Raw genomic sequence first — 15092 nt, forward strand, 5'->3', positions numbered from 1 at the left:
AGAAAGTACACTGATCACTCTAAGTTTTAATAGTTGATTAAAAAATAAATGTTTAAAAAGAAGCCAAATCATGTTTTGATGATGACTTGTAATTGCTACCTATTTCTTCTGCTTTATATATTTTGTTTTATTTAAAGCAAGGCATATTTATTCTCTTTCTGGGATGGAGCACCACGTTTTGCTTTAGGTTAACATACATTGATTATATTGTTTTGAAACTTTTAAGAAACCTGAGTTTCAAAAATCAGAACTTTAGTTGCCAACTTTTACCAGGAAAAAACGTAAGGCTCAACTGCTCTGCTTTGCTGAATGAAGAGGATGTAATTTATTGGATGTTCGGGGAAGAAAATGGATCGGATCCTAATATACATGAAGAGAAAGAAATGAGAATTATGTATGTATGTGTAATATATATGTCATGATATATACCATATAACAATCATATATATTATATATAACATCATATTAAAAACACTGGGTGGCTGATGTGTATTTTGGGCTAGTTTAAATTATAATTATAATGGACATATTTTATAATTATAGTGGCCATACCCTAGGTGGACGCATTATGCAGAAATGTATTGCCAAGATCTAAGCTGGAAAAGAAGGTCCATGAGAAGGCCATTGAGGGTATTTAGCATCACCTTATAAAGTAGCACTTGGTCAGTCAGGATCCGATGGGGATGGGGATTTTACTTAGCTTCTTAGAAAAGGGCAGTTGCCTAGGCCAAGCTTTTTTTTATTTTGAAAAATTTGTTAAGTTGTTTATTTTTCTAATGGGCCAAAAAGGCTCCAAATGGCATGCATATTGATAGTTAAATAAGCCTATATTCTTCCATTAAGGAATGGTCAAACTTATAAAAAGAATCAGTCTAAACATATAGTCACCTAAGCTTTTCTGAATGACTTTGGGTCATACTGTAAGTATTCATTATTATACTGATACACTACTCAGGGTCTAGTGAGTGCTGAGCCTAAGTTGTCTACCACCTTTGCTGCACTTGTTGAGTTTTTTCTTCTGCTTTTTACACATTTTTTGGTACCTTCTTTGTTACCATGCTTGCAGCTCTACATTCTTGCTGACACTTGTCTACAAGCTCTTTACACCACAAAGTCTGGCTTCTTGCCCGGGAGCAGGCATGTGGTTCATGCCCACTACATGTTGAATTCATTTGAAATTTGTGGATCTCCTGCCATCATATCTCATCCTCAGCCACTGGCCTCCATTTGAGTTTTGTATTTCTCCCTTTGGATAATCTCTTTCTAATTTTTAGAGGGGTAGAAAACCACAGTGAATTTCTTAGAAATGCAGCTTAAGCTACAAAAGCAGAGAGGTCTTTCTTTATAGTTGGGTGCACACACCTTTGATATCATCTGTTTTGTCCTCTCAATGGCCTCCTGTGTTTTACTTCTGGATTTCATTGGTTTTAGATGGTTGTTATTTCTGGATGGGTGACTTAGGAAAAGAATTACATTCCAAAATGTACTTGAGGCAGTTGGAGGCTACAGTGGGGCTCTGTGTCCCGGGTCCTAGATATCCCTGTTGCTAGGAATGTGGGCACATGGGGCCCATGTCTGGCTGTGTTGACTGGTGTAGCTATCAGAGCCTGTCATTGGTGGGGGAAGTGGATGTCATAAGTGTTTACCTGGCATCAACCACAGGACAACTTGAATCCTTTAAGGAAGAGAAAAAGAACGTGCTGCCAGTGGCTTTCTCAAGTCATTTTCTGACACTCATGGAACAACTTAACTGGCACTTCTCATGTGCCTCGGGGTGCTTGAGAACAGTGTTATGTTTTTTAATGCTGAACACATTAAACCAGTTTGTTGGATTCCATGGACAAATGTAATACGAATCTGCATCTATGCTAAACAACTTACAGCCTTGTCATAATTAGTGGGAACCACTCTGTGGAAAGAACCCCAAGTTGTTAGGAAGAGAGAAGTAGAGAAAAATAATTGAGAGAGAATATTTTCTTATATTTTCAACTTAGCATCATGATCTTCCAGCCATTTAAACTTCAGGTAATTGACAGCACCATTCCCAAATGGCCTCAGGAGGGCTGTTTCTGTCAGTTCTGATGCTCCACGGAGGAGGGGACGTTTATTGTAGTCCATGCTTTAAGAGTACTGGCCAGAAAGGGAAGAAATAATGCAGGCAACATCACAGCTGCCTTCAAGCATTTTAAACATGTGAATTCCCCTCTCAAGGGTAACGAACAGAGCCTACTGCTAAATTATTTTGCCCTCTTACAGGACTCCAGAAGGCAAATGGCATGCTTCAAAAGTATTGAGAATTGAAAATATTGGTGAAAGCAATCTAAATGTTTTATATAATTGCACTGTGGCCAGCACGGGAGGCACAGACACCAAAAGCTTCATCTTGGTGAGAAAAGGTGAGAAAGATTTATTTTTGGAAGTTTTGAAACTTAGCTCATTGCTACTGAGAGACATTTCAAAGATGGCCACTTTCTCATTTTCCACACCAGAACCCAGCTCCTGAGAGGGGAAATCAGTCACCTCATGTCACAGGCATTCAGTGGGGCCCCTCTGTCTCATGATGCCAAGCAGAGAATGAAAACAGAACTCATTCACCTGCTCTCACAGTCATATTCCATCCCATGTGGAAATCGGGGGGCCTGAGGCTTGGAGATACAGATGCTGAGAGTGAGGCTCATGGGGAGGCCATCAGGACAACCCCTGCACCCAGCACTGCACCCAGAGCAGCCAGAGGGGAGTTTGCAGATCTGCGTGGGGTGAGGCCAGTGCAAACTTGGTGTGACTGCTGCTCCAGCCTGCCTCAGCAGGGTACCAGGCTCAGGGTCCTTGTGTGTGCTCATTCATTCATTGCCTCCTGAACTTGGCAAGCAGGCCATTGATAGCCCTGATCTGTGGGCTCTTAAAGTTTTTCAGTGCTCACCTGATGGAGGGCCCCAGGGTCGCCATCCCTTTCCTCCACCAAAGTAGCACAGCCCAGGGCCTTCAGCCCAGTAGCTGCTCAGAAATGGCTGTGACTGGAGCCAGAAAGCTGTGATTTCCAGTTGTCACTACTCATTCACTGTTCATTCCCAGGCTCCACCATCAACTCCCTGGATATGTAGAGAAAGGTCAAGATCTGCAAGAGAGAGAGAAAGGGAGAGAGACAGAGACTAACACACCCAGAGACAGATGGAGACGGAGAGAGACAGACACAGAGAGAGGAGAAAGAGAGATACATGAGATGGAGGGACAGAGACAAACAGACAACTCTAGAGAGATGAAGACAGAAAGAGAAAGAGAAAGAGAGACAGAGACACAGAGAGACAGAGAAATGAGAGAGACAGGGAGAGACACAGAGACAGAGGAACAGAGAAAGAGGGAGATAGAGAGGCAGAGACATGAAGGGATGCAAATACAGAGAGATGAGAGTGAAACAGACAGAGAGACAGAGTAAGGGAGAGATACACACAGACACACACAAACATGCAGAGACAGCCACACACACAGACTGGGCCTTGGCTTTGTGAGAAACGGAAGGAGTGGGACAGGAAGAGCACAAAGGCTGGAAACCCCCTCCAGCTGGGCTATCCTGGTGCCCAGGGGCAGCTCCCCCAGCACACATGTTTTAGAGCCGCCTCTCTACCATATGCACTCATAACAACAGCTCACATCCCATACATGTTAATTACATGACAGGATCTGGGTGAAGTTCCTGCCATGATCTCATCCAGTCTTAACGACAAGCTTTATAGAGGTGAAGAAACTTGCCCAGGGTCACACGGCAGGTGAAGGTATTGAAACTCAGACCCGATTAAATCTGGAATCTGTGTTCTTACCTTCTGCAGGGCTTGTCGCCTGTGGTCTTCCACCCCTGTGTGATTGCCTGTGCTGTGGTCCACTCACTTGTGAGGGAGTGGGGCTCAAATCTTTGTTGGACCATCACCTGGCCAGGCTTTCCTGGGGCCTGCTCACCACCGGATCACCTCTCCTTTCTTAGAACAGGGCAGGACTGTCCTATTCCTGCCCTAGACGCTTCTGGCCAGTCAATTCTCCTGCTGCTGCTCTCACAAATGTAGGTTTAGAAATTGGGGCTCACAACCCACCATCACCCCGTGCCAATGTGTGCGTGCGTGTTTTTGCAAATGTGTGACACAGTTATGACTATGCAGTCCTTTCCAAGGTACAGGAGCCCCAGACCCTGAGTCTGCTCAGAGTTCACTATTAAACAACATTAGCTGCTTGCCTGAATCCTAAAGATAGTAGAAAGATATGGAAAGATAATTTTTAAAAATTGCACCAAGATGGCAAAAGTTTTAAGCACGTTTATGCTCATTGACCTAGAGATGCCCCCACCATTACAATCTATTTTAAGAAAGAATTAGAAATATGGATAAATGTATATGCCTTTTTGTATATGTATATACATATATGCATGTATATATACACATATTTGCAAATGTATATGCATATACATACAAGGTTACACATTTATATAAATATTATACATGTATACACTTATACATATAAAATGTACTGCAACTTTATGTCTACTTACTAAAAATTGCAATCAATCTAAATATTAGGATATTATGAATTATAATTTTAATGACCTACTGAAATGCTCATAATATAATATTCAGAAATAATGAGTGATTACCATATAATCTCAGTTAACTAAAAAGTTTAAGAGACAAAAAGAAAACCCAGAAGGAAATATTCTATCATGTTAACACAGCCTTCACCACATTGTGATTTGTTGTTAAAAATTACTTTATTCTTTTTATTCCTCTGTATTATCTCAGATTGTCCATAATAAACATAAACGGAATCAATCTAGAAAATGTATTTTTTTCCAAATGATACTTTTATACAAAGAATTTGCTAAAATTCCAAGAGCTGTGTGCTGTATTAACTACTTTTTGTGTAATATTTCATTTAATCTTCCCCAAAGGAGCAGCCTTGTAAGTGAAGCAGTTAGTATCTTCATTTTACAGATGAAGGTACCAAGGTTTAAGGGCATTCACGATTTTTCCTACAATACAAAATAATTGATGGAGCCCAGCTGCAAACCCAGACAAATGTCAATCCAGTGCTCTCTCTCTTCTCTCAAAACTATGCACCTCAACCCACTTGCTAATATTTCTGTGAGTCCCTATGTGTTTCAGCCTAGTATCTCTTCACCCCAGAAATCTGATTTCCACGGGTACGGATAGAATACATTACTGTGTAATGTTTTCACTTCAGTTCTCTAAATATCCGTGTACACATTTTTATTCTTTAAAAATCTGAGTAGAAATATCACTACTCCAGACTAAAGGCAGGAATGTGGAGTCACTCAGTGGAATGTGTCAGCACGTGGGTTGGCAACTACTGCATTAGTGTTAGCAGTAAAAATGGACAAGCACGTGATGATGGACAACACTGGTAAGATTTCTTGATTATTTTCTTTTCCTTTTTCCCTTTCTTTTCTAGCAGACATGGCTGATATCCCAGGCCACGTCTTCACAAGAGGAATGATCATAGCTGTTTTGATCTTGGTGGCAGTAGTGTGCCTAGTGACTGTGTGTGTCATTTATAGAGTTGACTTGGTTCTATTTTATAGACATTTAACGAGAAGAGATGAAACATTAACAGGTAACACATATAATGCTGGAATTTCTTACCTTATGTTCTCATTAAGAAATCAGATAAATAGGCATTAATCTTCATCTTATTGTGATGATATTGTAGAATTAATCTGTGGGAGAGGTTTTCTATGGGAAATATTGTTCTGCCTGTACCATCCATTATGAATGTTGTCTATGTCTTCTTTTCTTGTGCTTACTTATGTGTTGCCCAAAATTGTTCTGATTGTCTCGTGTATGTATGTCATAGCTTCCTAAATGCCCTGGGAGATGCTCGGGCCCAGGAACTGTATATCTGGGTGTCTTTGTGCATGCATCACTTAGGTATCTTTATAGTACATACACTCAATAAAGTTGCTTTAAGTTAGATTGAATTGTCCTATCGCTCATTATTTCAACCTGGCAAAGGAGGCTTACATAATGGACGTGTAAGAACCCCCAGCTGGCCGGGCGCGGTGGCTCACGCCTGTAATCCCAGCACTTTGAGAGTCCGAGACGGGCAGATCACGAGGTCAGGAGATCGAGACCATCCTGGCTAACAGAGTGAAACCCTGTCTCTACTAAAAATACAAAAAATTAGCCGGGCGTGGTGGTAGGCGCCTGTAGTCCCAGCTACTCGGGAGGCTGAGGCAGGAGAATGGCGTGTGAACTCGGGAGGCGGAGCTTGCAGTGAGTCGGGATCGCGCCGCTGCGCTCCAGCCTGGGCGACAAAGCAAGACTCCGTCTCAAAAAAAAAAAAAAAAGAGAGAGAAAAAGAACCCCGAGCTGGAAGCCAAATGATCTGGAATCATGTCTCCTAGACCTGCCAGTTTTTATCTGCTACTATGTCGACCCGCTGGCTCTATGCCTCAGTTTCCTTATACTTAAAGGTGACCAGAAGTCCTCAAGTTTCCAGATAATTACTAATTTAAAGGAAGTCAGTCTAATTCATTGCACTTGATTTTGTTTTGCATGTATGTGTTTGCAGGAAAAAAACCTTCACAGAGTTCAAAACCCAAAATGTCTATGAAATTATACTTCAGTAGCCCCCCTTCCAGCCTGGTCCTGGATCTATGATTCCCACCCCTCATTGATAGCACATCTGACCAAATATCAATACAGATTCTTATTACACACCTCCTTTTAAAAAGAACAAATCCTGGCTTAATATGCGCACTCTTTTCAACTTTGCTCTCTTATACCTTAGACACACTTGCATGTTACTTTATAAAGCAGTCCATCATTTTTTAGGGCCGCACAGTATTTTATTTGTGCAGAGCTACCACTGTTTATTTAGTCTCCTTTTGATGGACATTTGGCTTGTTTCCAATCTTTTGTTATTATAAAAATGCTGCAATGGACAGCTTTATACATTCATCGTTTCATATGTATGCAGTAGGTCTGAAAGAAAAATTCTCCAAAATGGAGTTTCTAGAATACAAGAAGGAGACACAGCCATTATTTTGCTAGATACTGTCAATTCACCCTCCCTACTGCCTTCAAAAGATGACAGCAAATTTTTTCCCATAACCTTACCCACAACCATTTGGAGTTGTGCCAATCTGATAGGTGAAAAGTTGTATTTAAGTGACATTTTAATTTGCATTTCCCTTACTATGCAAGAGAACCAGCAACTTTTCATTTGCATAAGGCTCAGCTGTATTTCCTTTCTCAACACACCCATTCATATCTTTTGCCTATTGTTCCATGGGGCAATGGCTTTATTTTGCGTATTTATTTCTAGGAGCTATTTATATTTTAGGGAGGTTAGCTTATTATCTATAATATGAAATGCAAATATTCCCAGGCTGTAATTTGTCTTTTGACTTTGCTTGTAGTGGTGTGCTATATAAAAGATTTTTTGAAAAACATACTCAAATGTATCTTTTATGGTTTCTGGATTTGGGATCATAAGCAAAACAGCCTTCTTAACCTCAAGTTATACAAAAATTATATTAGTTCCTCTGAGATTTTTATAGGTTTAGTTTTCACATTTAGAACTTTAAATTGAACAACATAAAATTAGCAAGGTTAGTGAATTTAGCTTTGAGCCTGCATGTGCATGTGCGAGTTTGCTATGGGGAGAGATGATGCTGTAACAAACGGGGAAATCTGTATTTGATATTTTCTGAATGGTCTCTGTTTGCATAGGCCAGTGTTTGTCTTCAAATAAACATTGACTAGCTCCTCTCTTTCTGACTTTCTGGAGCTAAGATTTCTTTTTTCCTTCTCCAGTTGTGTTTGACATGATTTGCGGTAATTTTTTCAATTCACACTTCTTAACTGTCAATATGGCAGTGCAGAGACATTTAGAGACATGCTCTAAATCACTTCCATTAAATTATGGTCCATGAACAAATGCAGTCCACGAAAAGGACAGAAATGGAGATATAAGTATGAAGATAAAAACTTTTATCACAATTTAATACTGCTGCAATATCTAAGAAAGTGTTCAGTATTGGTTTCTGAAGGATTGGAAATGAAACTAATCAATAAACAACAACAAAAAAAGGCAAATTTAAATTAAAACATGGTCATTCACCAAGCATAGTTTGAGGAACATTTGTTTAACTTACTCCTTGAAGTCCCAAATATCCACTTGAATTATAATTTCCTTTATAATTTTCCTTTATGTTTGAATATAGAGAATAAAAACATTACCATTAGTTTTCAAATTCCTTTTTTTGAATACTTTACTCTGTCAATTCTCAAGTCCCCTAAACCTTTTAAAACCTGAATTTAAAATATATTGTAATAAAATTAGCATATTTATATTAAAAGAATTGCTTAAAATAAGGAATTTGAAAGCAATTAATAGTTGAAAAGCTAATTTTTCATAGGTAAGAGCAAAGCTATATTGTATGTAATATAAACCCATATTTGATGAAATCGTCTTCCCAGTTTGTTGCAATCCATTACATCATAAGAAAATTATGCCCTTTAAAAAAGTGTGCTCATTTAATTGTCTTACATGTTGATGCCTGTTTTGTCACTGACACAGTGACAACCCTAGTGGAAGCACTAGCTCTTACTTAACTAGTAGATAGTTATATTTGATAGCAGTTTAAGAAAAGTTTGAGGGGGAACCTACTTACTGATTGATAACTGGTTTTATTTTTACCAACATTTCATACCTTTGATATTTATGTAAGCCTGAAATTTTTACCAACATTTTTCATCTTTCAATGCATGCAATTCTGCAAAGCAATTGCTTTAAATCAACAATAGGTTCTAACCCAAATTGCTGAACAGAATGCTGTAAGTAGAACTGAAGAAGATTTTGCCAGAAGCAGAAAGTGTTGTTTGGTGACCATGAGTGCTATGGAGGATGCCAGGCTGGGCTGTTAAGCATAAATGATGTGGCACCATAAGAGACATAGATCTAGAATGGTTTTATCCTATTAGATTTTAATAGGGGTTGCAGTTATATGTAGCCTCAAACTCAGTAGCAAATTCATTAATCCCAACAATATGCCATGCATAAATCTTACCCATCTGCCATCATCTGCCATCAAAACAATTGTCATGGGATAAAGGTAGACCATTCCCCACTACTTTCCTTCTTTCTCTACAGATCCCAATTAGCATCCATTGCATTTTTTAGGACCTGACTCAAAATTTCCTCCTTTCAGAAAGCATGTCCATCGGGATCACTCTTTATTCTCTGGCCAGGTTATTTTGTCTGTGAGTTTTGTTATTCTTTTTTTGTTATGCTATTTTTCTTCTGCTAATGTGTTGTCTGTAACTTTTTCCAAGTTGTTGCATGCATCTGCTTTGCTTTTAAAAATAGATTGGATGAAGCTAGAAGAGAGAGTGGTATCATGTTTTAATTACCCAATTAGGAGCATGGTCTTTGTTATTTAGGAGACATTTTCACCTTCTTGGGGGTCTTTCTGAGCATAGAAATTGTGATGGTGGTAGAATTAAATGATATGAGTAAACCAGGGTGAGATTTTCTTTCCACTCCTGGAATGAGGACACCTTTGGGCTCTTGGCCTTCTAAGGAACTTAAAGACTTAAGTTCCTTTAGTGCCCAGATCTATGGCTCATATATCTCTGTATTCTTCTGTGGTGTCAAGCAGTGGGATCTTAAAGTAGATGCTTAAAAACACATTGGCTAATTGGTTGCTTGGTTAGCATGGGAGGTTTAAATATAAACAACTTTATATATAATTTGTTTTTTCAATGATTCTATACTCATTACTTACGACATTCACTTAAGTTTGTACTTAAATAAAATTTTATTTACACATGAATTAAAAGAGCCAATCTTACCTCCTAGATGGAAAAACATATGATGCTTTTGTGTCTTACCTAAAAGAATGCCGACCTGAAAATGGAGAGGAGCACACCTTTGCTGTGGAGATTTTGCCCAGGGTGTTGGAGAAACATTTTGGGTATAAGTTATGCATATTTGAAAGGGATGTAGTGCCTGGAGGAGGTAAGAGGGAATGCCAGATAGAAAAATATTCAAGATAGTTTCTTTTTAAAAAATGAATGAGCTAGCCCCCAGAGAGCTATCCCATTTTCCTTAAAAACAAATGAATAAGGTCCTTTAAGCAAGAAATAACCACGTAAGTCAACAATCGATAGTGAGAAAACAAACTAATGAGCTTCCAATAGTCTCTTCTCTTGGGCTCTGTTCTTTGTGCTTCACGGTTCTCTGAAACTTTGGGGAAAGGGAGAGGGCATTTCCTTTTCAGAACCGGGCCCAGAGCTGGCGTTATCATGAAGCCTTTATTTAGAAATGACCCACGGTGAGAATATCTGTACCACAGCAGCAGTTCCTAATTTAACATGTGATGTGTGGACTAGTTAATCCTCACTAGTAACTCTTACTAGAAATAAACACGGGTTAATTATTACTAGAAAATGCATGGGTTTTTATTGTGTTGATATTGGTGACGAAATTTAAGTAGAAAATAGGAAAATTGAAAAGGGAAAAATAACAGGAAAGCGGTGATCCCCATCAGATCATAGCTATGAAATTCAATGTTTTTTTTATTAATATAGGAATACAAATGGCCATAGTGCCTATATTAAAGCAAATTACTGTTAAATTTTTCTTTTTAATGAGTAACATTTTTAGATTTTCTCTGAAGTCTTTAGAACAAACATTTAAAATCTGGTGTCAAATTATTCTGGATACTGATGCTTAAAAAAAAAAAACAAATGTTTGATTATTACCATCATTCATGTATTAATCTAATATTTATTGGATACTATTCCTGTGCCAAGTTGTGAACTGGGCATCAAAGATATAACAGTGAGAAAGAAATAGTTACATTCCCCCCCATATTACAAAGTAGAAAGGAAAATATTGCTAACTTACACTACTGTTTAGTAATAAACAACTTGTCAAAAAAATATGCCAGATTATCAGATGCATACATTGTAGTATTTTTGGATAGCAGTTCTTTGCATCTAAGAAGGCATATTGTTACTTAGGAAGCATTTATTCTGGGCCATACATCAATTTTACTATATTTCCGTTATTTTCTAGGGGCCTTTCTTGAAAACAGATTTATTCTTAATTCATAAATAAAAATAATGTTTGAATATTCAGCTGTAATTAGGTTTGGTTAAACCTCTATTTGAGAACAGTGAGAGGTCTAGAACAGGGGTTGGCAGTTTACCAGCCACGGGTTCCATCACACCTGCAACCCTTATTGAAACACAGCCACGCACATTGGTTTACCTGTCGCCTGCGTCTGCATCTGAGCTACAACAACAGAACTGAGTAGTTGTGACAAAGACAGTGTGACCTGCAAAGCCTAACATATTTACTATCTGGCCCTTTGCAGAAAAAGTTTGCCAACCCCTGGTCTAAAATAATGGATGGTTTTGTTTTGTTGTGCCTTTTTGTCTTTTAATCTTTAAATTCTGATTTTAGCATGCTCTTTTCTGCTTGAGGAGAAGCAGGATAGTATAATAGTTAGAAAAATGTATTCCACTTGGGTTTAGATTCTGATTCTGCCATTTACTAGCTGTGTGACTCTGGGCAGGTTACTTAACCACTCTGTGCTCCGGCTTCCTTGTTTGTTAAATGGAGGTGATAACAGTATCTTCTCTGTAGCGTATTATGATGATTAAATGAGTTAATATACAAAAAACATTTAAAATAAGGTATGGTACATAATAAGTGCTAAGTAGGTGTTCATTATTATTGTTACCTAGAGATTTTTTAATAAGCATATAAAATTAAGAACAAATGGTTTGTCTTAAAGAAAAACTTATTAGTGAGGTTAGGAGTTAATATAAAATAAGACTGTGCAAAATGACTTTTATCTCATGTTCCCCCTTTCAGTTATCTTAAATTAATAGGGGTTATCTTGCATTTTCAGCTGTTGTTGATGAAATCCACTCACTGATAGAGAAAAGCCGAAGACTAATCATTGTCCTAAGTAAAAGTTATATGTCTAATGAGGTCAGGTATGAACTTGAAAGTGGACTCCATGAAGCATTGGTGGAAAGAAAAATTAAAATAATCTTAATTGAATTTACACCTGTTACTGACTTCACATTCTTGCCCCAATCACTAAAGCTTTTGAAATCTCACAGAGTTCTGAAGTGGAAGGCCGATAAATCTCTTTCTTATAACTCAAGGTTCTGGAAGAACCTTCTTTACTTAATGCCTGCAAAAACAGTCAAGCCAGGTAGAGACGAACCGGAAGTCTTGCCTGTTCTTTCCGAGTCTTAATCTTCAGAAACAGTGAACGCCAAAAAGAACTCAAGATATTCTGGGGACTGAGCATATGAACCTGTTCATAACAAAGGCTGTGACTCGAAATAATTAACTTTGTCAAAATCCTGCTCACAATTTGAAGATGAAACTTGTCATTAGGTTGGCGGGAATGAGACTAAAGATTGCGCTGTGGGCTGTGGTCACGTGCTCCCAGAAGACCTGGAATTCAAAAGAAATGGAGCTATTCTTTTTCTCCCTCTTTCATAACTGGATGCAGCTGCTCATACTCAATCCCATATTCAGCAAGTGTGAAGCTGGACGTGATGCAAAATAACCGATGCCCTACAAAAAGGGCGCATCTTTAAGAGTTTTAATGCCAGTGCTTAATTCGAATGAGGGGATTTTAAGTGTCTGAAGAGGCATTTTCTAGGGACCAGTGGGTGACTGAGTAACTGAAATGCTGCTTTCACTCCCTAACACCATGGATCTGGTTGTGCATAGGATGTGGGAGGAGGGGCTGGCAGGGCCGCCTTCAGAGGCTGCAGGGCCTCAGCCTCAGGATGCATTTAATGTATCCTGGCCACAGTTGCAGCCAACGGTTCTTGAAAGCTCGGTAAGGCCCTGCAACGCAGAGCCTGCTTATGTGGATCTATTTATGGGAACTTCTTAAAAGGACCCCAGAATAGCTCTTTATCTTTCACAAGAGACACAAATTCTAATTGAGTTAATTATCTGGGCCTTTCACTTTGGATGCTCTGAAACATTTGTTGATTTTGTGTGAATGTTTATATCAAAATGTTTGCCAGGTTGTATTAGCCATTGAATAGCAAAAAACTGATAGTTACTTGCTTGTTTTTTAAAAATTACATATTAAAAATGCCCTTGGCATAAGGCAGCATGGTGTGGCAGTTAAGAGATGGGCTGTGCAGCCCATCCTGAGCTCCAGTCCTGAGTTTGCTACTTACTTCTGTGGCCTCTGGAACCTTATCCAACCTCTTGGTGCTTCAGTTTCCTCATCTGTGAAATTAGAATTTATAATAATTGCACCTACCTCCCAGGGGTAACTAAATGAATAAATATAATAAAGTACTTACAGTGGTTCCTGACACAGACTCAGCACTCCGTCAGTGTTGCCATGACTATTTTTATTATCATTATTAATGATTACTTAGATCAATTATTTAGCAGTGGACTAATGGAAGCTACAGAGCAGGGAAGGGAAGCAGATCTAGGGAGGAAGGCAGTTTTGATTTGAGGAGGTTTGCACATGTAGAGAAGCATACTGGAGAAGCATATCCAGAGGGCGAAAGATATCTCTCCATTGTGCATCTGCCTCTTTTGACGTTGGAAGACACATGTCTTACCCCCCAAAGGGAGCCCAGCACTGGGAGCCTTCTTGATGATCTCAAAAATAATAGCTATTCAAGAAAATCACCAAGTGACTGTGAAACCGTCAGTTCGGAAGGCTGGTTAGAACATGTGGGAGCAACATGAATGTTCTACAAAAGTTTAAAGCAGAGATTGTTTCAAATGGGTGTAGTAGATATTACTGAAAACCAAAAAAGAGTGAGATTGTCAGTGTAAGAATGTGATTTAATGTTTGTAGTGCTTACAATTTTGTGTACCAACTGGATGACTAAAAAGAGTAAAATAATTTAATTAATAGCTCATATTTTATGTGTGAAAACATGTTAGTGAACATATATAATCAAAATAGATTTCATTGCTATTGCATAGTCTCTAATACATAGAATGATTTTGCTTTTCTCTTTTATTATACTTGCTTTAAAATACTTGAAATATATTTTGCATTAAATGCATTTCAAGTTAAATGTCTTAAATGTATACATTAGATGTGTGTTTTAAAATGCATAAAACACGTTGAAATACATTAATGAACCATTAGTCTAATGCCTTTATTTTTGAAATATCATGACGTCTTTTTCACTTACTTTAAGATTCCAATTCCTCGTTCTTAACATAGACTCCTACCTGTTTTAATAGAATATGGGCCATTCAAAATGAATTCATGCACCTCTCTCTTTTTAAATGTCAAATTGCCTTGCACCTACCTTCTTGTTTCACACCTTCCATCCAGGAGCAAACTAATTCTCTTCTGTTTCTCACAAGCCACTCAATACTAAACACAGGGACTTATACATGGTAAGTCTTCATATGTCAGTTAATTAATGGGCATATTTTAAAATTCTGGTTTAAACATTCCCCAACCAGGACCAACAAATAACTTTTCAGGTATAAAACAGCTTTCTTTTCCATGGTTCAGATGCCCTTAAACTGTGAAGTCTATTTTAGAGAATCAGCACAACTACCTTTCTAGGGCACGTGAAGAAACACCTCTTACATGTCTGTCATGTCCTAGAAGCATTTACTCATTAGAGCTATATCTTCTCAAAGCAGTGAGAAGCCTTAGGCCCCACGTATTCCAAACCCAGGAACTTGAGGCATGGTAAGTCCAGGGACTTGGTCACAGTTGCACACGAGCGGTCTGACCAGGTTGGCACAGGATGGCGTACGGCCTCCTCTTGGAGATGAGCATCTTGGAGGCTGCAGGCACTTTTCTGGGGCCGACAATTTAGGCTAAGAGGGCCTAGGGCAGGGGCCTGCGGAGGGGAAGCGGGCTGTCTAGGACTGGCTCTGAGGAGGAAAAGAGAGTGAGAGGGATGCTCAGGATTCCTTATAAGCCATTAAAAACAAATAGGCATTCAAGTTCAGTGCAGGGTGAAAGAGCACAATTGATGGAGCACATCCGCCCACTGTGGCCTCTGCTGAGATACAGAGAGTTAGAACCTCCGGCATCTGCTAGG

General features: G+C 38.8%; 1 protein-coding gene across 16 annotated transcripts in view, besides 1 other annotated feature; it reads left to right on the forward strand.

Annotated features, from left to right (window-relative positions):
- IL18R1 (interleukin 18 receptor 1) overlaps window positions 1–14172 on the forward strand; it is a 42981-nt gene extending 28809 nt beyond the window's left edge. For 4 of the 16 annotated variants that reach the window (NM_001371418.1, NM_001371423.1, NM_001371424.1 and 1 more), the window contains 5 exons: window positions 274–394; window positions 2257–2396; window positions 5455–5613; window positions 9865–10023; window positions 11927–14171. In NM_001371418.1, coding sequence (NP_001358347.1) covers window positions 274–394; window positions 2257–2396; window positions 5455–5613; window positions 9865–10023; window positions 11927–12282 — 935 coding nt within the window. In that variant the 3' untranslated portion in view covers window positions 12283–14171. Of the gene's footprint in view, window positions 1–273; window positions 395–2256; window positions 2397–3824; window positions 4052–5451; window positions 5973–9864; window positions 10024–11926 lie in introns of those variants that run through there. The other 12 variants (NM_003855.5, XM_024453202.2, XM_047446167.1 and 9 more) reach the window with 8 other exon arrangements.
- Window positions 2575–2714: an enhancer, noted in NCBI's record as "active region_16307". NCBI's record gives its function as "activates an Ori minimal core promoter by ATAC-STARR-seq in GM12878 lymphoblastoid cells {active_cell/tissue: GM12878}" and the evidence as "EXISTENCE:reporter gene assay evidence [ECO:0000049][PMID:35858748]".
- Window positions 14173–15092: the final 920 nt, after the last annotated feature.

The sequence above is a fragment of the Homo sapiens genome, chromosome 2 (genome assembly GCF_000001405.40).
Source record: "Homo sapiens chromosome 2, GRCh38.p14 Primary Assembly".
In the NCBI taxonomy this organism is placed as follows: domain Eukaryota; kingdom Metazoa; phylum Chordata; class Mammalia; order Primates; family Hominidae; genus Homo; species Homo sapiens.